Source organism: Homo sapiens, chromosome 1 (assembly GCF_000001405.40).
Source record: "Homo sapiens chromosome 1, GRCh38.p14 Primary Assembly".
Lineage (NCBI taxonomy): Eukaryota > Metazoa > Chordata > Mammalia > Primates > Hominidae > Homo > Homo sapiens.
Window position 1 is genome coordinate 86963475 of NC_000001.11, and position 27394 is coordinate 86990868.

Sequence of the window (27394 nt, forward strand, 5' to 3'; positions counted from 1 at the left end):
GGTAAGGTCATAGATCAACAGCATCCCAAGGCAGAATTTTTCTTAGTACAGAACAAAATGGAGTCTCCTATGTCTACTTCTTTCTACACAGACACAGCAATAATCTGATTTCTCTATCTTTTCCCCACGTTTCCCCCTTTTCTATTCAACAAAACCGCCATCGTCATCATGGCCCGTTCTCAGTGAGCTGTTGGGTACACCTCCCAGACGGGGGTGACAGCCGGGCAGAGGGGCTTCTCACTTCCCAGAAGGGGCGGCCAGGCAGAGGCGCCCCCCCCCCCACCTCCCGGACGGGGCAGCTGGCCGGGTGGGGGCTGGCCCCCACCTCCCCCCCTGGACGGGGCGGCTGGCCGGGCGGGGGCTGCCCCCCACCTCCCGCCCGGACGGGGTGGCTGGCCGGGCGGGGCGGCTGGCCTGGCGGGGGCTGCCCCCCACCTCCCGGACGGGGCGGCTGCTGGGCGGAGACGCTCCTCACTTCCCAAATGGGTCGGCTGCCGGGCGGAGGGGCTCCTCACTTCTCAGACAGGGCGGCCGGGCAGAGACGCTCCTCACCTCCCAGACGGGGTCGCGGCCGGGCAGAGGCGCTCCTCACATCCCACACGGGGTGGCGGGGCAGAGGCATTCCCCACATCTCAGACGATGGGCAGCCGGGCAGAGACGCTCCTCACTTCCTAGACGGGATGGCGGCCGGGAAGAGGCGCTCCTCACTTCCCAGACGATGGGCGGCCAGGCAAAGACACTCCTCACTTCCCAGACGGGGTGGCGGCCAGGCAGAGGCTGCAATCTCGGCACTTTGGGAGGCCAAGGCAGGCGGCTGGGAGGTGGAGGTTGTAGCTAGCCGAGATCACGCCACCGCACTCCAGCCTGGGCAACATTGAGCACTGAATGAACGAGACTCTGTCTGCAATCCCGGCACCTCGGGAGGCCGAGGCTGGCAGATCACTCACGGTTAGGAGCTGGAGACCAGCCCGGCCAACACAGCGAAACCCCGTCTCCACCAAAAAAATACGAAAACCAGTCAGGCGTGGCGGCACGCGCCTGCAATCGCAGGCACTGGGCAGGCTGAGGCAGGAGAATCAGGCAGGGAGGTTGCAGTGAGCCGAGATGGCAGCAGTACAGTCCAGCTTCGGCTCGGCATCAGAGGGAGACCTTGGAAAGAGAGGGAGACCGTGGGGAGAGGGAGAGGGAGAGCTGTGTTTATTAAATCTTAAAGCTAAATATCTTTAAGAATATTCTTTAGTAATTGCTTCCTTTCTACACACAGACACACATGTATATTTATTTATCATGAGTAAGTGACAGGTGATTCAGTGCCAATCTGAGTTCCTAAAGGTTACACAGTTCAATTTATTTGTTTTTATTGTTTTGTGATTAGCAGCAATAATGTTAGTAATAGTAGATACACTCTCTTCATATGTGAAGACTGATGATGTCCCGTGTGCTTAGAGCTATTTTTCTAGTAGTCATGGTAGATTTGCACTAGTTTACTCATTCTAGATCTCCTTTAAACATTATACATTTGTAGTATTACTGATAATGTGTGTAAATGACTGATCTGCTAGCCAAGATTAGGTGTGTCTGGGTCATATTTTAAGTGATCCCCTTAATTTCAGACTTGTTTCAAAAAGGATTTTATGCATCTTTCAGTAATAGAGTAAGACAAAGTAATTAGCTAAGGAAATCAGGATGACTGGAAAATGAGCACAATTGAGTGGCATTTTGTGCCTGGTACTTTTCTGACCATCTACTGGCTCTCTCTTGTTCCTTCACCTTACCCTGCTTGGGGGCTTATCTCTGCTTGGTTCCTTACCATTCATTCATTAGTTCCCACTTGAGGCATGGCATTTATCCCAAAATTCTTGAACCTCGGTGGGCTTTTCCCCCCTCTGCACAGCTCCTAAGGGACTAAGGTACTAGGGCATCTTATTTTTTCTTTTGTGGCCTTCCAGAATAGTTCCTTGCTGCCCTCTTCTGGCTGAGACCTTAGGGTGTTGTTGAGCAAATTTTGGTTTTTAATCCTTTAAATTCCAGCAATATTTTGGATAAACCAGTGGTTCTCAAGCCTGGCTGCGTATTAGAATCACTCTGGGGAGTTTTAAGAAAACTACCACTGTGTGGGCCCCACTTTTGGAGGTTCTGATTTAATTGGTCTTGGGGTGGAGGTGGGAGGCTGGTTTTTTTTTAGGGGATTAAAATCTCTAGCCAGTGATTAAGATCTAACCACTAGGATAAATGACCCTTGGAATCCTGAAGGGCTTGTGCTACTTAGATATAGTCCTCACATTTTTAGATATCATAATGGATTTTTAAAAAATAGCATTAAAGTTAGAAATACAGGAGTATTTCTACCCTCTCAGGAAAAGAATAGTTTATACAAGGAATGATATGAATAAGCAATAGGATCTAAGGTCTTTGTAGTGTCTACTAATACCAGAAGAGATTTTGGGAAGATACTTTGTGTTATCATTTGCCTGTTTGGTTTTCTGTTTCTCAATTTTCATTTCCTCTGTTTCTGTTTTAAGGGCCAAGCCACAGGCTTCTGCATGAGTTTGGCCATTGACAGATACTAGCGGAAGATTGGAGGACAGGTAGAAGGGAGAAGCCAGGGTATTTTTTGGTTGTCATGTCTGGTAAAGGCTATTTCTCTGGTAGGGGCTTCTTGTCCTTTGTGACTTTAGCTCTTATCAGAGAGCTCCTCCTTCCATGGTCCAAATGTGTGCTGGAAAATTTCCTGTATTAGTAGCTATGTCTTCTATTAAATATATGGAGAGGTTTCTGTTTTTTTGATTGGACTCCTATTTGATGTACCCTGTAAATACTACAATATGCTTCTCTTTCCTCTCTTCTGTGTTTCTACCTTTCCTCCTATCTGTTCTTTGGTACTTTTCCTACTCCGGTGATAGCCACCTGAATTCTGAACAATATTTATAACAGTTAGGGTTAGGGGGCATTGCTCTTAAATTGGAGTCTCTAATTTTATGGAATGTTCTTTCTAAGTTTTACTTTTTTACTTTCTGAAACTTGTAAAGCATTCATACGATATTATTTCTTAGTTGGATTAGAAACGTGATGGGAAATAAAACTTTAATATGAACTTGTTGAATACAGTTTGTTAGTAGATACAATTTGTAATCATCCTGTTTTGTTTGTTTGTTTGAGGTAGAGGTCTTACAGCCCAGGCTGATCTTGAACTCTTGGGCTCAAATGATCCTAACCATTGAAACCTCTTGAGTAGCTGGTAGATTACCAGCACATGCTACCATGCCCAATTTATCATCTTTTTAATAATGCTTTTTGTTTGTTAATTATTTTGTTAAGAATACTGTTGCAGCTACTTTGTTTTTAACATTTTGACCCATGATACAAATCTCTCTTACTAAACTTTAGTTTGGGTCATTTAAAAAAATAATAGAGTGCATTCCTTTTTTTTTTTTGAGGCGGAATTTCGCTCTTGTTGCCCAGGCTGGAGTGCAATGGTGCGATCTCAGCTCACTGCAACCTCTGCCTCCCAGGTTTAAGCGATTCTCCTGCATCAGCCTCCTGAGTAGCTGGGATTACAGGCATATGCCACCATGCCCAGCCGGTTTTGCATTTTTAGTAGAGATGGGGTTTCTCCATGTTGGTCAGGCTGGTCTCGAACTCCTGACCTCAGGTGATCTGCCCACCTTGGCCTCCCAAAGTGCTGGGATTACAGGTGGGATTACAGCCACCATGCCCGGCTTATTTAGTCTTTGAAGGAGTATTAGGATCTTTAGTTTCTAAAAGTGGCGTATTAACTAGCTCTTTATTATGTAACCATTTGTACTATATTTCTTATTTTTTAATTTTTAAAAATTTCAAGAGCTTTTGGGGTACAGGTGGTTTTTGGTTACATGGGTGGATTATATCGTGGTGAATTCTGAGATTTTAGTTTGCCTCTCACCAAAGTAGTGTACATTGTACCCAATATGTAGTCTTTTATTCCACATTCCCCTCCCCTTCTCCCCCTACTGAGTCTCCAAAGTCCATTACATCACCCTGATTGGTTTTGCATACTCATAATGTAGCTCCTACTTATAAGTGAGAACATAGGGTATTTGGTTGTCCATTCCTGAGTTACTTCACTTAGAATAATGGCTTCCAGTTCCATCCAAGTTGCTGCAGAAGACATTATTCTGTTCCATTTTATGTCTGAGTAGCATTCCATGGTGTATATATACCACATTTTGTTTATCCACTCATTGGTCATTGGGCACTTAGGTTGGTTCCATACCTTTGCAGTTGTGAATTGTGCTGCAACAAACATTTATGTGCCTGCGTCTTTTTCATATAATGACTTCTTTTCCTTTAGGTAGATATCCAGTAGTGGGATTGCTGGATTGAATGGTAGACCTACTTTTAGTTCTTTAAGGAATCTCCGTACTGTTTTCCATAGAGGCTGCACTAATTAACATCTGCACCAGCAGGGTGTAAGTTTCTGTTTTCACCACATCCATGCCAACATGTATTGTTTTATGACTTTTTAATGGCCATTCCTTCAGGAATAAGGTGATATCTCATTGCGGTGTTAATTTGCATTTCCCTGATGATTAGTGATGTTGAGCAGCGTTTCATATGTTTTTTGGCCATTTGTATATCTTCTTTTCAAAAATGTCGTTTGCCCACTTATTGATGGGATTATTTGTTTTCTTCTTACTGATTTCTTTGAGTTCCTTGGAGATTGTGGATACTAGTACTTTGTCAGATGCATAGTTGGCAATTATTTTCTCCCATTCTGTGGGTTGTCTGTACATTCTGATGATTATTTGTTTTGCTGATTTGCACTATATTTCCTTTGATGTGGGATTTATTTATTTAGATGTAGGCTTTGCATGATATCCAAAGCATATATATGTATTTGGTAACACAGTTTTTGAAGTCTTGAGTTTTGTGTGGTTTTGGCTTAGGTAATCTTTGGATTACTTATTTCTCCAATCCTTTTTTTTTTGAGCGAGGTCTCACTCTGTTACCCAGGCTAGAGTGCAGTGGCACAGTTGAACCCTCCAGGCTCAAGTGATTCTCCCACCTCAGCCTCCCGAGTAGCTGGGACTACAGGTGTATGCCACCAGGCCCAGCTGTTTTTTTGACTTTTTGTAGAAATGAGGTCTCACTATATTGCCCAGGCTGGTCTCGGGACTCCTGGCCTCAAGCATTCCTCCTACCTCCGCCTTCCTAAGTGGTGGATTACAGGCATGAGCCAGCACACCCAGCCTCCAGTCCTCATAAGTGGTTCTTCTAACTTTCTCTATTATTGTAGACGGTTTAAACGTCTTTACTTTAATCATTTGTTTAAAAAAAAAAGCTTCATGCTGCTAGATTTAAGATGCCAAGAAATCATATTTTTGGGAATTTAACTCTGTTAAAAATGAATGTTGTAAACTAATTTTATTCTCTCATATTTGTGTGGAGACATAAGATGAATCATTAGTACCATTCAGCTGAGTAGTGTAGAAAACGGAATTGTTTTTCTTTGCTGAAAGAATTGAATAAAAATATTTTCATGAAGTTATTCTTTGTACCAATTCCATGTAAGTAAGGTTGCTACAAATATATGATTTCTTGACATATATGCATGTCAAAGTATGTACTAAATATAAAGTGTTACTTTTCATACTTAATACTTTATCTTAATACTTTACCTACAGAGGTTTTCATTTAAAAGCCTGTTCTTAAAATTACATTAATCTTTCAGGCTTAAAATTGCCTTTCAGGTTTAAAATTTTACTTCTTAGTTCTAACCTCAGTTATAAGTCCCTGGTTAGGGTTCTTCTGAAACCTCAATTTGGATTTAAGGATACATTTTCTTTCTATGCCCTTTTCTTTCTGAAGCACACATTTTTAACTTGTTTATTGAGCCTTTTTCTCTACTTGTGACTTATGGAAGTAGCTTTATAAACGTGTGTGTGTGTGTGCGCACGTGCCTGTGTGGAATTGCAGCAGAAGTCATTCCTTCTCAGCTAATTTCATGTAATTCATTTCAGCGTGAAGGTTGGAATGATCTAATGGTTTTCTAAGAGCTAGACTTTCATAATAATGTTACACATTAAAACACATAAACACAGTTGTATAGATGTTACTGAAACTTAGAATTATGATCATATGAAGTAGAAGAGTTAATTTTACAAATTTATAAAAACAATTTGGAGTTGGCTTTTTACTTCTAGCTGTAACTTGTTTACTGACAAGACTGAGTTATATAAAATATTTTAATTAAGTATAAAATAATTTAAATATTTTAATTAAGTTATATAAAATATCTTAATTAAGAGTTGGCTTTTTACTTTTAGCAGTAACTTGTTTACTGATAAGACTGAGTTATATAAAATATTTTAATTAAGAGTATTTAGTTGGGGCCGGGTGCGGTGGCTCACGCCTGTAATCCCAGCACTTTGGGAGGCCGAGGCAGGTGGTTCACCTGAAGTCAGGAGTTCGAGACCAGCCTGACCAACGTGGAGAAACCTCGTCTCTACTAAATATACAAAATTAGCCAGGCGTGGTGGCACATGCCTGTAATCCCAGCTACTCGGGGGGCTGAGGCAGGAGAATCACTTGAACCTGGGAGGCAGAGATCGCGGTGAGTCAAGATCGCGCCATTGCACTCCAGCCTGGGCAACAAGAGTGAAACTCCATCTCAAAAAAAAAAAAAAAATGAGTATTTAGTTAAAGAGACAACTTTAACATTTTATAACAGAATGATTTTATTTTGTTTTGGTTATTCATCCTAACAATGCACATTTTACAAGTAATAATGTATTAATGCAAATAAACATGATTAAAATAGTTTCCTCTGTAAGCCATAACAGTGCTGGGAAGAATCCACAAGAAGTATAGGTCAGTTGTGAATAAAAAAACTGAATGAAAAATCTGCTTAATGAAATATAAATTAAAAGATTTTAAGCATAATTTTAATTTATAATTTTTTTTTTGAGACAGAGTCTTGCTCAGTTGCCCAGGCTGGAGTGCAGTGGCATGATCTCAGATCACTGCAGCCTCCACCTCCCGGGTTCAAGTGATTGTTGTGCCTCAGCCTCCCAAGTTGCTGGGACTACAGGCGTGCACCACCATGCTTGGCAAATTTTTGTTTTGAAATGGGGTTTCACCATGTTGGCCAGGCTGGTCTCGAACACCTGACCTCAAGTGATCCACCCTCCTTGGCCTCCCAAAGTGCTGGGATTGCAGGCATGAGCCACTGTGCCCTGCCTGTAATTTTTATTTAATTTTTCCGGTGATGGCATGAGTGAATGTCCACATTTAAAGTTATTTTGGTTCACACATGGCCTTTGTTTATTATTTATGAGAAAAAATTATAGAAATAATTTAAGGGTGGTACAGAAATGCAAATCTAGAGGACTTAAAATGTACATGAAAACTCCATTTGATATGACAAATAATTTACAGGTCAAATATTTTAATATTTATATATATAATAGATGCCAGTTAGCACAATTGACAAGTTCTCTTTTACGGAAAAGGCCCCAAAATGTCTTCTACTGATGCCAGATCAGTTGATTATCTAGGGATAGATATCTGAAATAAGCTAGGCCAATTTGATTTTCTCACTCAGGAATTACTTTATTGACTAATTTTATTAGTTCATTCAGTCAGCAAGTATTTATTGAAGGCCTGTTACATGTTTGGTTGCTAGAGATACAATGATGGAAAATTCAGATAAAGTTTCTGCTCAAACAAAGAAATTAAATTGGCTAGACATGGAAATAGTGGCATCCAAGAGGGAAGGTCTATACATTAGTGCTGTTAAGGCCTATAGAACTCCTCTGATTCCTGTCATTATTTAAAAAACAAAACAAAACAAAACAAAACAAAAAAAAACCTTGGCGGTTTAGTTATTTCTTCAGTTCTGTGAGCTACCCAAGCATCCTTCCAGTCTTTCCAATAAAACGGACCACCTCCTTCTTACTCTTATTTTTAATTTCTTAAATTTGTTTTAAGCCAAAAAACCCTAACCAATATATAAATTGGACCTAGGGTGGGGTTTTATTATGTACTCAGCTTAGGTCAGATGGTTAGATGTCTAGTCTTATATCTAACAGATTGGCTATGAAGATGTGGAATTTGAATAAAAGTGATAGCTTCTTTACACGTCCAATCTTAGAGTAGGGAAATGAGCATTTCACAGCAGAAAGTTTTGTTCTGAACAAAACAGAGTCCCTTGTAGTGTATATCTATCATATATACTGCATTATGTTTGGTTAGGACTTGAAAATTTTATTTCATTGCATCATGTTTTTGATCAAGAATTTGTAGGAATTTTGTGCAACAAGAGGTTATAATGTTAATACGTATTAATATTCTGACCGAGGTTGAAGTCTTCATTCTTGAAAGAAAAAAAAAATGCAAAAGTATTCTGATCTCAGAAGATATGAAAACTATCACTCTTCAGAATTACTGGCTTTGTGTTTTGAACTAGCTCTTTCAATAGTTTAACCTTCAACTTTTTATACTTGTCATAACTTGTTTATTAAATGAATCACTATGTCACCACATTCTATACTGATTTACATAGAGAAGATGTTCAGTAAAAGTTGGCATGATTTAAATTTTACAACAATTAACCATAGAGTTTCATCATAAGATTGGTTTAAGTGCATTCATTATTGCAGTTGCAAGGTTATGAGTTGTTAATGTTTCAGAAAAATTTTTAAGGACCCCTTTTAAAAAACGTTTTGTGTTTACATATATACATACCTCCTTCATCCTAGGTTTCACTTTCTCTAGTTTCAGTTAGCCAAGGTCAACCTTGGTCTGAAAATTGATGAGTACAGTATAATAAAATATTTTGAGAGGGAGAGAGAGAACATTCACATGGCTTGTATTACAATGTTATTATAATCTATTTAATAATTATTTTTTTTTAAGAGATGGAGGTCTCATTCTATCGCCCAGGCTGGAGTGCAGTGGTGTAATCATAGCTCACTGTAGCCTTGAACTCTAGGGCTCAAGCCATCCTCCTGGCTCAGCCCCAAGTAGCTGGGATTACAGCCAAGAACCACCACACCTGGCTATTTTATTATTGTTGCTGTTAATCTCTTATTGTGCCTAATTTGTAAATTAAACTTAATCATAGGTATGTATAGGATAAAACTTAGTACATATGTAGTGTTCAATATTGTTTGCAGTTTCAAGCATCCACTGGGGGTCTTGGGGCGCATCCCCTGGGGATAGGGTGCTGGGACTACTGTGTTCCTTACACAGTTTCATCTAATGTTAACATTTTGCATAACCATGGGACAGTTATTCAAACTAGGAGGTTGACATATATGTTATTAACTGCAGGCCTTATTTGAATTCCACGTGTTTTTCTTCTAATGCCTTTCTTCTGATCAGGATATAATCCAGGATTGCACATTAGATTTAGTTGTCTTTATTCTGCAGTCTATAATAGTTCTGCAGACTTTTTGTCTTCTATGGCTACACTTTGAGTTTGTACAATGTGCTCTCATGATTGGGCCAGAGTTATGCATATTTGACAACAATATCACAGAAACAATATGTCTTTTGTCATGGGGTTCACGATGTATGTCTTCTTTACTGGTGATAGCAACCTTGATCACTTGTTAAGGTGGTTTCTGCTGGGTTTCTCCACTGTAAAGCTATCTTTCCATTTGCAGTTAATACATTTCTTGGGAGACACTTTGAGACTATGCAGATAAAATCTAAGGATCTTTCTTTGTTCTTAAATTTTTTTTTTAATTTGTGTAAATTTATGGTCTTTTTTTTTTTTAAATCTAACTAATTACCAAGATCTATGGATTTATCATTCAAAATCAATCTTTCCTTTTTTTTGGATCAAGTTTAGATCAGTTTCCTTAAATTCATTTTATCATTCAATGATCAAGTATGCTAAAATGAAAAACGCTAGGGATGCGAAAATGAACAAGATGTAAATCTTGTAGTATCACCTAATAGTAGGCCTTGGCATTAGACAGATCTGATTTCAAACCCTAAATTCTAATCTTGGAGTCCTGTGAAGTTGTGCAAGTTGCTTACCTTTGTTGGGCCTCAAATTACCTCACAGAATTATTAGTAAGGGATAAATATGAAATTCTAGAAAGGCAAAACTAGTCTACAATGCCAGTACATTGTTGATTGCCTTGGGCTAAGAGTGGGAAGTTGACCCAAAGGGAGCTGAGGAACCTTTTGGGATGAAGGAAATATCTTCTATCTTAATTTTTTTCCCAAAACCTTATAGTGTACATTTGAAGTGAGTATATTTTATTGTAGGCAAATTATATTTTAATGAAATTGATTTGAAAACCAAGGTGGTTCTCCTTGAACCCAGTTTTCCATTTAATGGGATAAAATATGATATGTAGAATTCATAAGTCTTAAGGTTTTAGAAATCAGTCGTCTAGCTCTCCCTTATCCAGAGGAGTCTTGTGACAATTTAGCATTTGCAGAGCAATTTAAGAGTTTAAGTCTATAGTTGTGACAGAGTAAGAAATATATTTTTGGTCCTACCCCCAGTTCCTGACACAGAGAACATGAAAGCCCTTATAATTTCCTGAGTTGTAGGAGTACTGTCCTATATTCTGTTTTAATATTTGGTCATTGACCCTGGTTCCTGTCTCAGAACTCCTAAATCCCTTTAAATTTTTGGGGTGATAGTAGAGTCTTTTGTTCTAATGGGGTGACACTTGGGCTCCTGCATAGCTTCAGAATGGGGGCTGGTCACCAGAAAGTCCACACCATAATTAGAACCTTGGAAATTTCAGCCCCACTCCCATCTTCTGGAAAGGGGAGAGGGACTGGAGATTGAATTAATAATCGATTATACCTACATGATGAATGCTAAAAATTATTAAACTGTGGGATTTGGAGAGCTTCTAGGTTGCATTGAAATGAGTCCAGAGAGGCCATGGGAGTTCTGTGCACCTCCTCTACCTTGCCTTACACATCTCTTCCATTTGGCTGTTTCTGAGTTGCATTCATTATAATAAACTGGTAAATGTAACTAAAGTGCTTTCCTGAGTTTTGTGAATTGTCATAGTAAATTATCAAACCAAATGGAGGATGTCATGGAAACCTCTGATTTATAACCAATCCAAACAGAAGTTTGTGAATAACCTGAGGACCCTTACTTGGAACTGGCATCTGAAGTGGGAACAGTCTTGTGGGACTGAACCTTTAAGCTGTGGGTTCTGCACTAACTCTGAGCAGAATTGGGTTAAATTGTAGGACAGTCAGTTGGTGACTGCAGAGAATTGGAGCATTGCTTGGTATGGAAAACCCACACATTAAGACCCACTGGTGTTTCTGTGTGAGTATAGGAGAAAAACAATGTTTTCATTTAGTAGTCATCGCATTTTGGCATGTCTTTAGGTCTGAGACTCTCAAGTTATTCTTTTTCTTAAGTAGATTCCAAACTCAGGATCTTTCTGATCTCTTTTGGTCTCTTTAGAATCTTTTAAATTGATTATCTATGGAGTTTGATTACCTAGAGGTTCAAATTGACTGAAGTCAACTTCTTGGGACTCCTTTGAGTACAGAATTTTATTCTTCCCTTTGCAACCACAGAACTGGCTGGATTCTGGTGAGCTCCTGAAAGTTATTATTTGGTAATCTGTAGTTTTTAAGATTTGTTCGGTTGGCATACCCTTATGTATCTACATGAACCTTAAATTTAATTTATTCTCTTCCAAAGTACTCAAAGACTTTGGTAGAGAAAAAAGTTTTATACGCATATTTTAAAATCATGTTACTTTCCATGTGATCTAAAAGTCATTTTCTGTGGAAAAGAGATCAGTGTTTTAAAATTATAGCTTTTTCTTTTTTTTTTTTTAAGCTTTTCCTATTTTGGTGGTAGGCAAAGGAAGAAGTACTGTTGTAATTTATAGTGCTCAAAATGCTAATTGGCTGCATAAAAAAAGGCACCTTAATTTTTCTTTTCTCTGATTGAGATAAAATTATTTGGTAGCTCTTAGAAAGACCAAAGGCTGAGGGGAGGAAGCTGAAATGATGACATATAGCTATGTAGCTACTAATATATGTAAATAGAAATTCTGAATCTGTAGATAATCTAAATGAGACTGCTTAAAGGGAATGGCAGAGCTTTTGACTCACATGTAGTTAGTGTAGTTAATAAAATTTTGTTGATATCAAGATGGCATTAAACTGTTGGATAAATTCTAAATATGTGTTCAATTTAAATCTGAGGTAATTTTTACAGTTTAAGGCATTGTTTATTTTATACCTTTTACCAAATGCTATGATATGCTTTTAAATGTAACTGATGGCATTTAGTAAATCTTTATATGTATTTAAAAGCATTATCAATGGAAAAGTTTATAAATTTTGTTCTCTGGTTATACAACTGTGAGAGCCTATTTTAAGGGTGAAGTACAGGGGCTAGTAACTAAAAATCACGACCTTTCTACTGGCTATTTCTACAGGCTGTAAATTTTGGCCAAATACTTTGGAGGATTTAAATAGTTCTCATGAGATTCAGCTTTACAAATCCAAATTTAAAGTGCCATGGCAAATGTATCTTTGGTATTTTTTGTCCTAATTATCTAGCATAAAACCAAAGTGTACATTTATTAAATGCATTATGATTATTAGACTGAATTGCTGCAATTTACGTATCTATAGCAGAAACATAGTTTGGAATAATAGATTTAAAGTTTCTGTTTCTATTCAGTGGCAGATGTTAACACATTCTAAGTTGGAAACCCTCATGGTAATAGATTTTGATTGAGAACTTGTCAGTCATTGTAGCAGCTGCTTTAGACCACATTTATATTTAAATAGGAGAAAGTGATCTGTTTAGAATTTTTAAAGTTGTTGCCATGGCAAAGTAACTTGCTATTTCATCTTTTTATCTGCCATCGAAGTGATCTGTCTGGCTGCTTATTCCCAGGAGTAGGGGGGATGAACTGTTCTGTTGGAAAGCTTATATTAGGACAATGCTGAATGCTTCCTAATGGGATATAAGTTAGAAAGACTAAAGCTTTCAGAAACCATGGCTTTGGTTAGGTATAATTAGAATTGATTTTTTTCTCAATTAAAAACAGGCAAGATAAAGCTAAAACATTTTTTAAGAAGAAAAATATGAGCTTAATTTAACACCACTTTTGACAAATTCAATGAATAACATATTCAAATTAAATGCTATGAAAAAGAATTTCTTTGAATGAGTCTATTATTTCTGTAGCATGAAACACTTTGTAAATCCATCTTTTCTTTATAAAATTGTATATATATATATATATTTTAAATGCCCAGTGTCTCCTGCTGCCCATTTTTTTTTTACTTGTTCTCTTGAAAACCATGGCAGTGGGCTGGGTGTGATGGCTCATACTTGTAATACCAGCACTATGGGAGGCCAAGGCCAGAGGACCCCTTGAGGCCAGAAGTTCCAGTCCAGCCTGGGCAGCATAGTGAGACTCTGTCTCTACCAGAAATAAAAAATGTGCCTTGTAGTCCTAGCTACTTGAGAGGCTGAGGTGGGAGGATCTTTGAGCCTGGTTTTTCAAGGATACATGAGCTATGTTCACACCACTGTGTTCCAGCCTGGGCAACAGAGAGAAACCTTGTCTCAAAAAACAAAACAACAACAACAACAAAAACCATGGCATCATAATCTGATTTGGTATAAATGATTTTGTGTTTCATATTTACTTTGATTACATTAAATTTCTTAAAAGGAAGAATATTAGTGCAGTTCTTTTCAGGCTAATAATTACCTACATGATGGATATTAACTCCATACTAAAGCTTAATTTTTTTATTTGTTTATGTCATCAGACAATGTATACACTAGTAGTCAAAGCCACACAAATTGAGGGTGATTGGCAAGTGGCAAATTGTCATTTGCCAACAAAGTCCTCCCGAATAAAAGAATTTGACTTTCAGAGGCACGCACAAGGGAGTGAGAAGATTTGCACCAGTAGTTGTATATTGTAAGGCTGACATGTCTTTGATTAACTTGAGATATTTTGTATTATATTGGCTTGGCAGCTTTAAGGCATACTGCATATTTGTAATGTCATATGCTAAAATAATGTGACTATTGTGACATTTACTGAGACAAAATTATGATTTCTTGGTCATCTGAGCATATGGAAGACCATCTAATAAAATATCAAGTCTTGTACTTAAAAGGAAGATACTCACTTAATACCTAAGCAGCTTTTCAAATAGGAAAGGACTTTTAACCTCAAGCCCAAGAGAAAGCAAGGCAGTGTCAAATTTATCAGGTCTTCTTTCTATTCTACTGGCTATTTGGTAATGCTTTTATGGCTAACTACTTGAGAGAAATGAGTACATTAGCTGAAGGTAACACTTATTTTGTTTTTCAGAGATGCAGAAATATAAAGATACGGAGAACATGAGAAGTTAAAAAGCAACTAAAGGAAAGTTTGGGTCATTGATTTTGTGGTTTCAGTACAGTCATGTACCACATAAGGATGTTTTAATCAACAAACAACTGCATATACAATGGTGGTCCCATAAAATTATAGTAAAGCTGAAAAATTCCTATCTCCTAATGACATTATACCTGTCATAACTTGTATTGCAACACATGATCTTTTCTATGCCTAGATACACAAGTACCATTGTGTTACAATTGCCTAAATTTAGTACAGTAACATGCTGTATAGGTTTGTAGCCTATAAGCAATAGGCTATAGCATCTATTAACAGGTTTGTGTAAATGCACTCTGATGTTCGCACAATGATGAAATCACTGAATAAAGGCGGTTTTCAGAACATCTATCTGTCATTAGGAGATGCATAACTGTACACATATAAAAGCTAATAAAAATCTTACAGAACCCTAAATATTTGTAAGTTTTAAGTGAATTTTAAGAATTTATCATGTATTATGCATGTTTTAATCACTTAAATATTGGGCAGTGTCTCAGAGACAAATTCAGATATATCTCTGCTAGGTAAGTTTTACTCAAAAAGGGAATACTCATGAGAAATTTTTAAAGAGGCAGTTTTCTATTTAGTAAGTCTGGAATACCAGTTTTGAAATCCTTAATAAATGTCCTTTTTCTTGAATCCTCATATCCATATATGGCCACAAATTAGACTCTCTGTATTTGAATAGACTAGCATCTAAATTATCAGATGATACTGTGGTTAAACATTTAGTAAGTTTGTGGTTGTATAATTTGGCATGTTGCAGAAGATCTGAACATTGAGAATATATAGTTCATAATTACATTCCAACTGAATAATTACATATAATAATAGAAATGGAATTTTAAAAATTAAGAATATAATATATTGATAGTGGTAAAATAGATGCAGGACTGTATCTCAGTCCCTTTTGTCTAAAAGGAGAAATATTTTATTTGAAAAATACTGATTCCTGATTCCTAAGGGTTTTTACTTGTGAATCTTTTTTTTTTTTTTTTTTTTTGAGACAGGCCCTCACTTTGTCACCCAGGCTGGAGTGCAGTGGCATGATCTTGGCTCACTGCAGCCTCTACCAGGACTCAAGCGATCCTCCCACCTCAGCACCCCAAGTAGCTGGGATTACAGGCACGCGCCACCACACCTGGTTAATCTTTTTTGTAGAGATGGGGTTTTGCCATGTTGCCCAGGCTAGTCTTGAACTCCTGAGCTTAAGCAATCCGCCTGCCTCAGCCCCCTAAAATGCTAGGATTATAGGCGTGAGCCACTGCCGCTGGCTGTGAATCTTTATTCTTATTTGCTTTTCAATTATTTTTCATTGTAATAAAATATACGTAAAACTTGTCATTTAAAACAATTTTTAAGCGTATATAGTTCATTAACATTACGTTCATAGAGTTGTGCAACCATTATCACTATCTATTTACAGAACTTTATCATCATGTCAAACTCAAACTCTGTACCCATTAAACAATAACTTTCCATTTTCTCCTTCCCCCAGCCCCTGGGTAACCACTGTTCTATCTCTGTATGTGAATTTGACTATTCCAGATATCTCATGTAAATAGTCATATAGCACTGGATTTTGTGTTCGTATTGTTGTGTCTTTTTTCACTCAACATAATGTCTTCAATGTTTATTCATGTTATATAGCATGTGTGGAATTTCATTTTTAAGGCTGAGTACTATTACATTGAATGTATACACATTTTGTTAATCCATTCATCTATTCACGGACACTTGGATTGCTTCTACCTTTTGGCTTTTTGTGACTAGTGCTGCCATGAACCTGGGTGTACAAATATCTGTTTGAGTGCCTGCCTTTACTTCTTTTGACTGTAGACCCAGAAGTGGAATTGCTCAGTCATACGGTAATTCTATCTTTCACTTTTTGAGGAATCATCATACCATTTTCCATGGCAGCTGCATAGTTTTACATTTCCACCAGTAATGCACAAGGATTCCAGTTAATTCACATCCTTGCTAACACTTGTTATTTTCTTTCTTTTTTTAGTAGCCATCCTAAAGGTCATGAAGTATATTCTTATTTGTTTTTACTTCTGCATAAGATTACCCTGTCTTCACTGGATATGCTATTTCTTCTTTGGAAAATCTTGCTCAATATAAAAGACAAATTACTTAGATAAGGTATGGCGAGAAAAAGCTCAATGTATTTGTTACATTAAGGAGGAATTATCTCTAAAAAGAGAATTGCTAAATAAGTTCATTCATTCATTCAAAAATGTGTATTGAATGCCTGCTCACTCTATGTTGGGCAATGTGCTAAGCATTGAGTATACAGTGATAAATGAGAAAATCATGGCCCCTGCTTTGAGGGAACTTGCATTGTAGTGGGAGAGACATATGACAAATTAATGAATACAAAATTAAAATATAACTGTCATGAAATTTATATGACATTGTGCCTTCAAAGACAATGTATACAATATTCAGTGAAAATAGTAATATTAAATAAAGAATATATATTGCAAGATTGTATTTATACCAACTATAACCTCATTTTTAAAAATGCTTGTGAAAGAAAACAATGTCAACAAAATGCTAACAATGGTTCTAGGATGATCCAATTCATTGATTTTTTTTTTCTTAACTAAAATTTCTTCAGTGTGCATATATTGTTAATTTAGAAATTGCAAATAATTACATAAACAATAAATTAATAATTTAGGGATGATGTTTAATTTGACTTTCCTGTTGCCAGTGGTGACCAAAAAGTGCTAAGTATTATTGAACATTTTATCTACCTTAATTATGCCAAGTAAATCCAGGGCTTATTGTGATTTATACCAAGTAAATCCAAGGTTTTTTATGATTGAATGTTAATTTTAGCTCTAGGAAGGTAGTTCTTATTTTTGGTCAGTTTGCAATACTATTAGGATATCGGGGACAAAATGGAAAGTATGATTTTAAAAACTGCTCAGTATTTATTAACGGAAAATTGTCATTTTTATAAGAAAGAAATAGTGGAAAATTCACTATAGTTCTTTCTGGCTAAAAAGTGTGTAATATATGAGTATATAAAATATGAATTAGTCTGTTTTCACACTGCTATAAAAAACACCTGAGACTGGATAATTTATAAAAGAAAGAGGTTTAATTGACATACAGTTCCACATGGCTAGGGAGGCCTCAGGAAACTTACAATCATGGTGGAAGGCGAAGGGGAGGAAAGCAAGGTATGGTCTTACAAGGCAGCAGGAGAGGGGTGGGGAACTACCACTTTTTAACCATCAGATCATGTGAGAACTCACTATCACGAGAACAGCATGGGGGAACCTGCCTCCATGATTCAATCACCTCCCTTGCTCCCTCAACATGTGGGGATTACAGGTCCCTCCCTCAATACATGGGAATTACAATTTGAGATGAGATTTGGGTTGGGATGCAAAGCCAAACCATATTCCACCCCAGACCCCTCCCAAATCTCATGTCCTTCTCACATTTCAAAACACAATCATACCTTCCCAACAGTACCCCAAAGTCTTAACTCATTCTAACATTAACCCAAAAGTCCAAGTCCAAAGTCTCATCTGACACAAGACAAGTCCCTTCTACCTGTGAGCCTGTAAAATGACAAACAAGTTAGTTATTTCCAAGATACAGTGGGGGTACAGGCATTGGGTAAATGTTCCCATTGCAACTTGGAGAAATTGGCCAAAACAAAGGGGCCATAGGCTCCATGCAAGTCAGAAACCCGGCCAGGCAGTCATTAAATCTTAAAGCTCCAAAATCTCATTTGATTCCATGTCTCACATCCAGGACACACTGATGCAAGGGATAGGCTCCCACGGCCTTGGGCACTCTGCCCTTGTGGCTCTGCAGGGTATAGCCCTTGTGGCTGCTTTCCTGGGCTGGCATTGAGTGCCTGCAGCGTTTCCAGGTACCCAGTGCAAGCTATTGGTGGACCTACCTTTCTGGGGTCTGGAGGACGGTGGCCCTTTTCTCACAGCTCAACTAGGCAGTGCCCCAGTGGGGACTCTCTGTTGGGGCTCCAACCCCACATTTCCTTTCCACACCGTCCTAGCAGAGGTTCTCCATGAGAGCTCTGCCCCTGCAGCACACTTCTGCCTGGCCATCCAAGTGTTTCCATACATGCTGTGAAATCTAGGCAGAGGTTCCCAAACATCAGTTCTTGTCTTCTGTGCACCCACAGGCCCAACACCACATGGAAGCTGCCAGTGCTTGGGGGCGTGCACCCTCTGAAGCAACGGCCTAAGCTGTACCTTGGCCCCTTTTAGCCACAGCTGGAGCTGGAGCAGCTGGAATGCAGGGTGCTCTCCTGGGGCTGCACAGAGCAGCAGAGGCCCAGCTGATGATACCACTGTTCCTTCTTAGGCCTCTGGGCCTATGATGGGAGGGGCTGCCATGAAGTTCTCTGACATGCTCTAGAGACATTTTCTCCATTGTCTTGGCCATTAAATTTGGCTCCTTATTACTTACACACGTTTCTGCAGCTGGCTTGAATTCCTCCCCAGAAAATGACTTTTTCTTTTCTACCACAAGTCAGGCTGCAGATTTTCCAAACCTTTAGACTCTGCTTCCCTTTTAAACAAAAGTTGCAATTTCAATTTCTTTGTGAACAATATGACTGAACGCTTTCAGAAAAAGCCATGTCACCCCATTTTTGTTTTTTTTGAGATGGAGTCTTGCTGTGTCGCCCAGGCTGGAGTGCAGTGGCGCCATCTCAGCTCACTGCAAGCTCTGCCTCCCAGGTTCACGCCATTCTCCTGCCTCAGCCTCCCGAGTAGCTGGGACTACAAGCGCCCACCACCACGCCCGGCTAATTTTTTGTATTTTTGTTAGAGATGGGATTTCACCGTGTTAGCCAGGATGGTCTCAATCTCCTGACCTCGTGATCCTCCCACCTCGGCCTCCCAAAGTGCTGGGATTACAGGCTTGAGCCACTGCGCCTGGCCGCCATGTCACCTCTTGAATGCTTTGCTGCTTAGAAATTTATTCTGTCAGATAACCTAAATCGTCTCTCTCAAGTTCAAAGTTCTGCAGATCTCTAGGGCAGAGGAAAATGCCACCAGTCTCTTTGCTAAAGCATAGCAAGAGGGACCTTTGCTTCAATATCCAATAAATTACTCGTCTGCATCTGAGACCACCTCAGCCTGGACCCCATTGTCCATATCACAATCAGCCTTTTGGTCACAGCCATTCAACAAGTCTCTAGGAGGTTCCAAACTTTCCCTCTTTCTGTCTTTTCCTGAGCCCTCCAAACTGTCCCGGCCTCTGTCTGTTACCCAGTTCCAACATCACTTCCACATTTTCAGGAAGCAAAAATGATTTCACTTTCACATGATCTCTATAGCAGTGCCCTACTCCTGGTAACAATTTTCTGTATCAGTCTGTTTTTACACTGCTGTAAAGAATACCTGAGACTGGGTAATTTATAAAAGAAAGAGGGTTAATTGTCTCTCAGTTCCACATGGCGGGGGAGATCTCAGGAAAATTAAAATCATGGCAGAAGGTGAAGGGAAAACAAGGCATGTCTTACATGGTGGTAGGAGAGAGAGTGCAGGGGAAACTGCCACTTTTTAACTATCAGATCTTGCGAGAACTCACTCACTATCACGAGAACAGCATGGGGTAAACCACCCTTATGATCCAATCACCTCCCTCCCTCGACACATGGGATTACAATTTGAGATGAGATTTGGGTGGGGACACAAAGCCAAACCATATTAAAATAGTACTGAATTTTGAATAACTGTAATTGTGAATTGATGTTAAAATCTGATTGAAAGAGTACATCTTAGCACAACAATACGGTATATTGCCTAGTAATAGAATAATGCTTCAAGAAGGAGCTCTGGAGAGGGGACGGGGTGCTTATTTAAAAAAAAAAAAAATTTGGCAAGGCAAGGCACGGTGGCTCACGCCTGTAATCCCAGCCCTTTGGGAGGCCGAGGCGGGTGGATCACAAGGTCAGGAGTTCAAGACCAGCTGGCCAAGGTGGTGAAACTCCGACTCTACTAAAAATACAAAAATTAGCTGGGCGCGGTGGCGGGCGCCTCTAATCCCAGCTACTTGGGATGCTGAGGCAGGAGAATTGCTTGAACCCAGGAGGCAAAGGTTGTGGTGAGCTGAGATCGCGCCATTGAACTCTAGCCTGGGTGACAGAGCAAGGCTCCATCTCAAAAAAAAAAAAAATTTCAACTTAGTAATAACCATTTATTAGATGCCTGATATTTATCATACATTGCATGAGGCATTAGCATGCAGTATTTCTAACCTTGTAAAAGTAGGTAGTATAGATGAGAAAATTGAAGCCCAGGAGAGTCAGTTAATTTTTCCAAAGTCACAAATTAATATGTATATTTGGAGTGAAAAACAGTTATTAAGAGAGAAGCTGAAGGTGATTTCCAATAAGCCCTAGAAATGGATGTTTCCGTAGGATTCTGATGTCTGATTCAGAATTACTAGCTACATAGTAATCTGACCTGCCCAGTTTACAAGATAACTAGCTTGGAATTCATTTGGTTTCCTCGACGCTTTCTAGCAGGAAGCTTTTCTCAAGAAGCAATCCCTGCATTGAAGTGAGAGAAAATGGAGGTCAGGTGACTAATTAGAGTTTGGATGTATAAGAATTCAATAAAAGGAAGGAAAAGTAGATATTATTTAAGATATGCTGAGCTTAATCGTGTTTTCTTATGGGATTTAAGTAGCTTCTTGTGATTTAAATGTTTAAAAGAAATGTAAGGCTGGATGCAGTGGTTCGCGCCTGTAATCCCAGCACTTTGGGAGGCCAGAGGTGGGCAGATCACCTGAGGTCAGGAGTTGGAGACCAGCTTGGCCAACACAGTGAAACCCCATCTCTACTAATAAAATACTAAATAAAAAACTAAAATACTAAAATAAAAAATTAGCTGGGTGTGGTGGCATGCACCTGTAATCCCAGGTACTAGGGAGGCTGAGGCGGGAGAACCTGGGAGGCAGAGGTTGCAGTGAGTTCAGATCACGCCACTGCACTCCAGCCTGGGTGACAAGAAGAAATCTCCGTCTCAAAAAAAAAAAAAAAAAAGTTATGCCGTTTCTTACAGATAGGAGTTGAGTCTAATTGAATAGAAGAATTATTCATTAAAAAGTATCCTGTTAGCATTTATAGGAAATTAAAAAGATATATCAGACTCCCATAGTACCCTAAACGTTTATATCCATTTATTCTGTTTTGGCCAGGCGCGGTGGCTCATGCCTGTAATCCCAACACTTTGGGAGGCTGAGGTGGGCGGATCACGAGGTCAGGAGATCGACACCATCCTGGCTAACACGGTGAAACCCCGTCTCTACTAAAAATACAAAAAATTAGCTGGGCGTGGTGGCAGGCGCCTGTAGTCCCAGCTACTCGGGAGGCTGAGGCAGGAGAATGGCGTGAACCCAGGAGGTGGAGCTTGCAGTGAGCCGAGATCGTGCCACTGCACTCCAGCCTGGGAGACAGCGAGACTTGTATCAAAAAAAAAAAAAAAAGTATATATATATATATACACACACACACACACATATATATACACATATATATACACATATATACACACATATATACACATATATACACACATATATACACATATATACACATATATACACATATATATACACATATATACACATATATATACACATATATATACATATATATACACACATATATATACACACACACACACATTTCTAACAGAATCCCAATTTCAATCTTGGTATACATTTAAAATAGATTTTTGGAATACATTTGAGGTTAAATTTCCTTAAAAAATAACAACAACCTATGTTGTTTGCTTGAAAAATACCTGGCAGGAGCATAAATGGCAATCTTACTCTCCTTAGTTTAGAGAGATTTCATCTGTAAGAAAAAATTTTCAAAGGCCAAAACTTCTAAACCTTTTATGATATTTTTACTACATGCTTGTTCCCCCTTACTGTACCTTAATTCATGGTACTTAAAATTTTAATCTACAGCAACCAGCCAAAGAAACCAACAATTTCTGTTCAACTAGAAGGTAGGAATTGACACCTGTGTTTTTGTTTTTTGAAAAAACACAAATTATTCTTCTTTTATAAAATCACCTAAATTGTGTGAGCTTTGCTTGACATGTTAATGTGATCATTACCTGTTAGTAATACACTAATGAGCTTGGCCTCTTTTTTTTTTTTTTTTTAATCTCCCACATTTTCCAGAACAGCCCCAATTTGTTACAATCAGGATTATTTTATCTGCTGTATTTGCTAAGTATTATTTTACTCTCCTTCTTAATTTATTTTATTAAAAGTGATTTTCTTAAGTATGTGATTTAAGGTTTATCAGTGGGTTTTATTTTCAAGTAACTTCTTATATAAATATTTATCTATGTAAATTTATAACAGAAAAGGCCTTTTCTGGACTGTGTTTTGTTACAGTTTTCTTAGTTATACTTTGTCAGCTTCAGGGCTGCATTAAGTTCCACTAGGTTGGTATCTTATTGCTTGAAAATTGTTCTATCGAAACGTGCTATTAACCAGCCAGTCTTCCGATTCTCTCACTTGTAGTAGGCAGAATAATCCGCCTCCCTGCAAGATGTCTGTGTCCTAATACCTGGAATTTGTGGATATATTAATTTACGTGCCAAAGGAGAATTAAAATAACAAATGACATTAAGGTTGTTAATTAGGTATCTTTAAAATAAGATTATTTTGGATTATCTACATTGCCCAGTGGTAATCACTAGCATCCTTAAATTGTGGAAGAGGGACCCAAAAGTGCTATTTGAGAAAGACTTTATTAGCCATTGCTGGTGTTGAGGATGGAGGAGTGGGAAGCATGAACAAAGGAATTAGGGCAACATTTAAAAGCTGGTTAAGGCAAGAAAATGGATTCTCCCTCTAGAGATTCCAGAATGAAACAGCCCTGCTGACATCTTGATTTTTGCCTAGTGGGACTCGTTTTAGTTTTCTCATCCCCAGAACAGTAACATAATAAATTTGTTTTCCTTTAAGCCACCAAATTATGGTAATTTGTTATGACAGTCATAGAAAAATAATAACACCACCTAACTGTCATGACCTTTGCATTTTGTCACTCACCATAGGCCTGGGTAGATACTCCCTGTTCTGCCTGGGACTGCTTTTTTCCCTCCCTGATTTCAGAGCTACTGTTACACGCTTTCCACCACTATTAAGGTTGTGATAGCCAGGTTTTTTTTTTTTTTTTTTTGAGATAGAGTCTCACTCTATTGCCCAGGCTGGAGTGCAGTGGCATGATCTTGACTCACTGCAACCTCCACCTCCCAGGTTAAAGTGATTCTCCTGCCTCAGCCCTCCAAGTAGCTGGAATTACAGGTGCCCACTGCCTGCCGCCACGCCGGGCTAATTTTTGTATTTTAGTAGAGACAGGGTTTTACCATGTCATCCAGGCTGGTCTCGAACTCCCGACTTCGTGATCCGTATGCCTCGGCCCCCCAAAGTGCTGGGATTACAGGTGTGAGCCACCATGCCTGGCCCAACTAGGGTTCTTATTTGCAGGCAAAAGAATTTACTGTAGCTAGTTTCAGCAAGATTTTAAAGCATAGAGAATTGTTAGGAGGGCTAAAGGAGCAGGTTGAGCTTCCAGGAAAGGTTCTCAAAACCATACTGCAGAATCAGCCTAAGGAGGTGATAATAATGCTTTGTTCTGAAAGCCACAGAGTCAGGTAGCTCCTACCCCAGGTTCCAGATCATTTTGGAGATCTGGCTGCAGATTATCTTGCCTCTTCCTTGACCTAAATCTTCAGTGGTCCACACTGCAATAGACTGTCTGACTCTGCCATTACCTTTCTGATCTTATCTCCTGTTAGTCTGTCTCTATTCACTTTGTTCTAGGAACATCATTGTCTTGCTGTTTACAAGTCAAATGGCCCTGTAGCAGGAACATGCCTGTAATTCATGACACTTAAAATTTTAATCTACAGCAACCATTCAAAGAAACCAACCATTTCTATTCAACTAGAAGGTAAGAACTGACACCAGATATTGTAAGAAATTGGGGCTGTTTTGGAAAATCTTCCCTTTTTACCTTTTTTGTCTGTGGCCACTGAATCACCATTCATTTTTTCAATTACAATTCATATGTCCAGGATGAGAGAGACTCCTCGTCCATGCTGATCCAAATAAAGGTTGCTGGTCTCTCTCACCTCAGCTCCATTTGCAGTGGGGATGAAGATCTGTGGGAAAATGAAAGGGTTTTCTTTTTCAGTTACATCAAGAAGATGGAAAGTAAGTTTTTTTAAAAATAGCCTTTTCTAAACTTTCTGATGACTGATGGAGCCATCATTTGCTCAAACAAGGAAAGATGTAGCAAAGGGAAGACTTGTTATGTAAATTTAAGCCACCACTGAGCCCAGAACACCCAGAACTTTGGAAATTGGCTATTGCCATGTCTGGACTGCGAGTATGGGAAGGGGACACTGTTCTGTCTGTTGTCCCCGCTACCGTCCCTCTCTCTCAGTATCAACGTAGATCCAGACATTCTGCTTTGCTTACCTCCAACCTGACTGTTCCCATACAGAGTTGTGTTAAGCCTCCTTACATGCTGTTAGTGGGAAATACCAAAATTTTGACAAACTGTCCAGTGCATTAATTGTCATTTATACACTTGTATTAACTCTCATTTTGACTCCACAAAAAGTGTAATGTTGGTTCGAGCTCGAGAAGGAATCTGGATTCTGGTAGCTTTGCCCAGACCTTGGGAATCCTCCTCCTCAATACATTTAATTAATGAAATGTTACAGCGAATTCTAAAAAGAGCTAAGAGATTTGTTTTCACTTTAATCGCTGTGATCATTGGCCTAATTACAGTCACTGCACTGGCCACTACTGCCGGAATGGCGTTACATCAATCTATTCAAACGGGTCATTTTGTTAATGATTGGCAAGCCAATTCCACCCAAATGTGGAATTCTCAACAAGGCATTGATCAAAAATTGGCTAATCAAATTAATGATTTAAGACAGTCTGTTATTTGGCTTGGAGATTGGGTAGTGAGTCTCGAACATTACATGCAAATGCAGTGCGATTGGAATACTTCGGATTTCTGTATCACCCCGTATTCCTATAACGAGACTGATCATTCATGGGAAACGGTCAAAGACACCTTCTGGGCATGTGATCTTAATGGTAAGAGTTTCACTACTCAGTCCTCCCTTTCTTTCTGGTGCGGAGGCAGACACCCTTAAAAATGGAGATTTCCTTTATAGATGTAGATTTCTTTTATAAACATGTTTCAAAATAGCCAGCTAAAAGACAGAAAGGTGTATTTTAGAGACCAATTTAGTTCAGTAGACAGTCTTTATAACTTAGCTATGGTTTTTTAACTAAAATGACTGAGCTTAGGGCTAAGCCCATTAACTAATAGGGCAAAGAAAGTATTCTCTCTACCTGGACTCCACAAGGATAGCTCTTATAAAGAAGCAAGCCTATTTTACCTGAGGGCTTACCTTCTATTAGCAAACACTTTATCCACCTTTATTTTCACATTCAGGACAGTATAGTAATTTAGCCAAAAGATTTGCAGATTCAATTTTTTTAAATCAACTAGTTCCTTAAGCTTTTTATTTGCTTTTTATAAAGAGGCTTTCAAAAGAAGCAATAAAAATATTGCAACATTTTTAGAAGCTTCTGCACATCAATAGGCATCCTTGGGTCAGCCAAATTCAGGAGAACTTATTTATTTATTATTATACTTTAAGTTCTGGGATACATGTGCAGAACATACAGGTTCGTTACATAGGTATACACGTGCCATGGTGGTTTGCAGCACCCATCAACCTGTCATCTACATTAGGTATTTCTCCTAATGCTATCCCTTGCCTAGCCCCCTAGCCCCCAGCAGGCCCCAGTGTGTGATATTCCCCTCCCTGTGTCCATGTGTTCTCATTGTTCAGCTTCCACCTATGAGTGAGAACATGTGATGTTTGGTTTTCTGTTTTTGTGTTAGTTTGCTGAGAATGATGGTTTCCAGCTTCATCCATGTCCCTGCAAAGGACGTGAACTCATCCTTTTTATGGCTGCATAATATTCCATGGTGTATGTGCCACATTTTCTTTATCTAGTCTGTCGTTGATGGGCATTTGGGTGGGTTCCAAGTCTTTGCTATTGTGAACAGTGCCGCAGTAAACATGTGTGTGCATGTGTCTTTATAGTAGAATGAATTATAATCCTTTGAGTATATACCCAGTAATGGGATTGCTGGGTCAAATGATATTTCTGGTTCTAGATCCTTCAGGAATTGCCACACTGTCTTCCACAATGGTTGAACTAATTTACACTCCCATAAACAGTGTAAAAGCATTCGGAGAACTTATTTTTAAATGCAGTTCTTAAAATGCAATGTTGTTTATTTGGAACATTCCACAGTAATTTAAGATTGTTGTTTGTATGACTTTGCCATTTTTTGTGAACATTTGCTGCTTCTGGGGCCTAAACGTTCTATGTGTAAATGTAGATGTAGCTAGAAGGTAGAGTACTCAGTTCTTCAGAAATTAAGCATCACATTTTTACGTTGAATCTTGGTTTTGCCTCTCAGATTTCTTTGATCAGCTTAGCCAGTGATTTTTCCTACCTAAGCATGCAAGAAAAAGGATCAAAGGGGATAGAATAAATAAATCCCTGTGAATTTTCAAAAGCTAGAGTTTGTAACCCCTGTAGTATTGCCATTTATCGCCAGTTTTTGTTTGACCCAGTCAGATATTTAAGGCCTCTAGCCAGATTCAATCCAGATAATTATTGGATCCTGTCCAGTTTCTTTTTTTTTGAAACGGAGTTTTGCTCTTGTTGCCAAGGCTAGAGTGCAATGGCATGATCTTGGTTCATCGCAACCTCCACCTCCCAGGTTCAAGCGATTCTCCTGCCTCACCTCCCGAGTAACTGGGATTACAGGCATATGCCACCATGCCTGGCTAATTTTATATATATATATATATATATATATTTTTTTTTTTTTTTTTTTTTTTAGTAGAGAT

General features: G+C 38.8%; 1 protein-coding gene and 1 long non-coding RNA gene across 3 annotated transcripts in view; both read left to right on the forward strand.

Moving 5' to 3' along the window:
• The window catches only part of HS2ST1 (heparan sulfate 2-O-sulfotransferase 1), a 195348-nt gene that overhangs the window by 48840 nt on the left and 119114 nt on the right, over window positions 1–27394 (forward strand). The window lies entirely within an intron of this gene.
• On the forward strand, window positions 6618–14819 carry LOC124904211 (uncharacterized). Its single transcript, XR_007066207.1, has 2 exons — window positions 6618–11569; window positions 14337–14819. It is a non-coding gene; the product is annotated as an uncharacterized LOC124904211 (long non-coding RNA).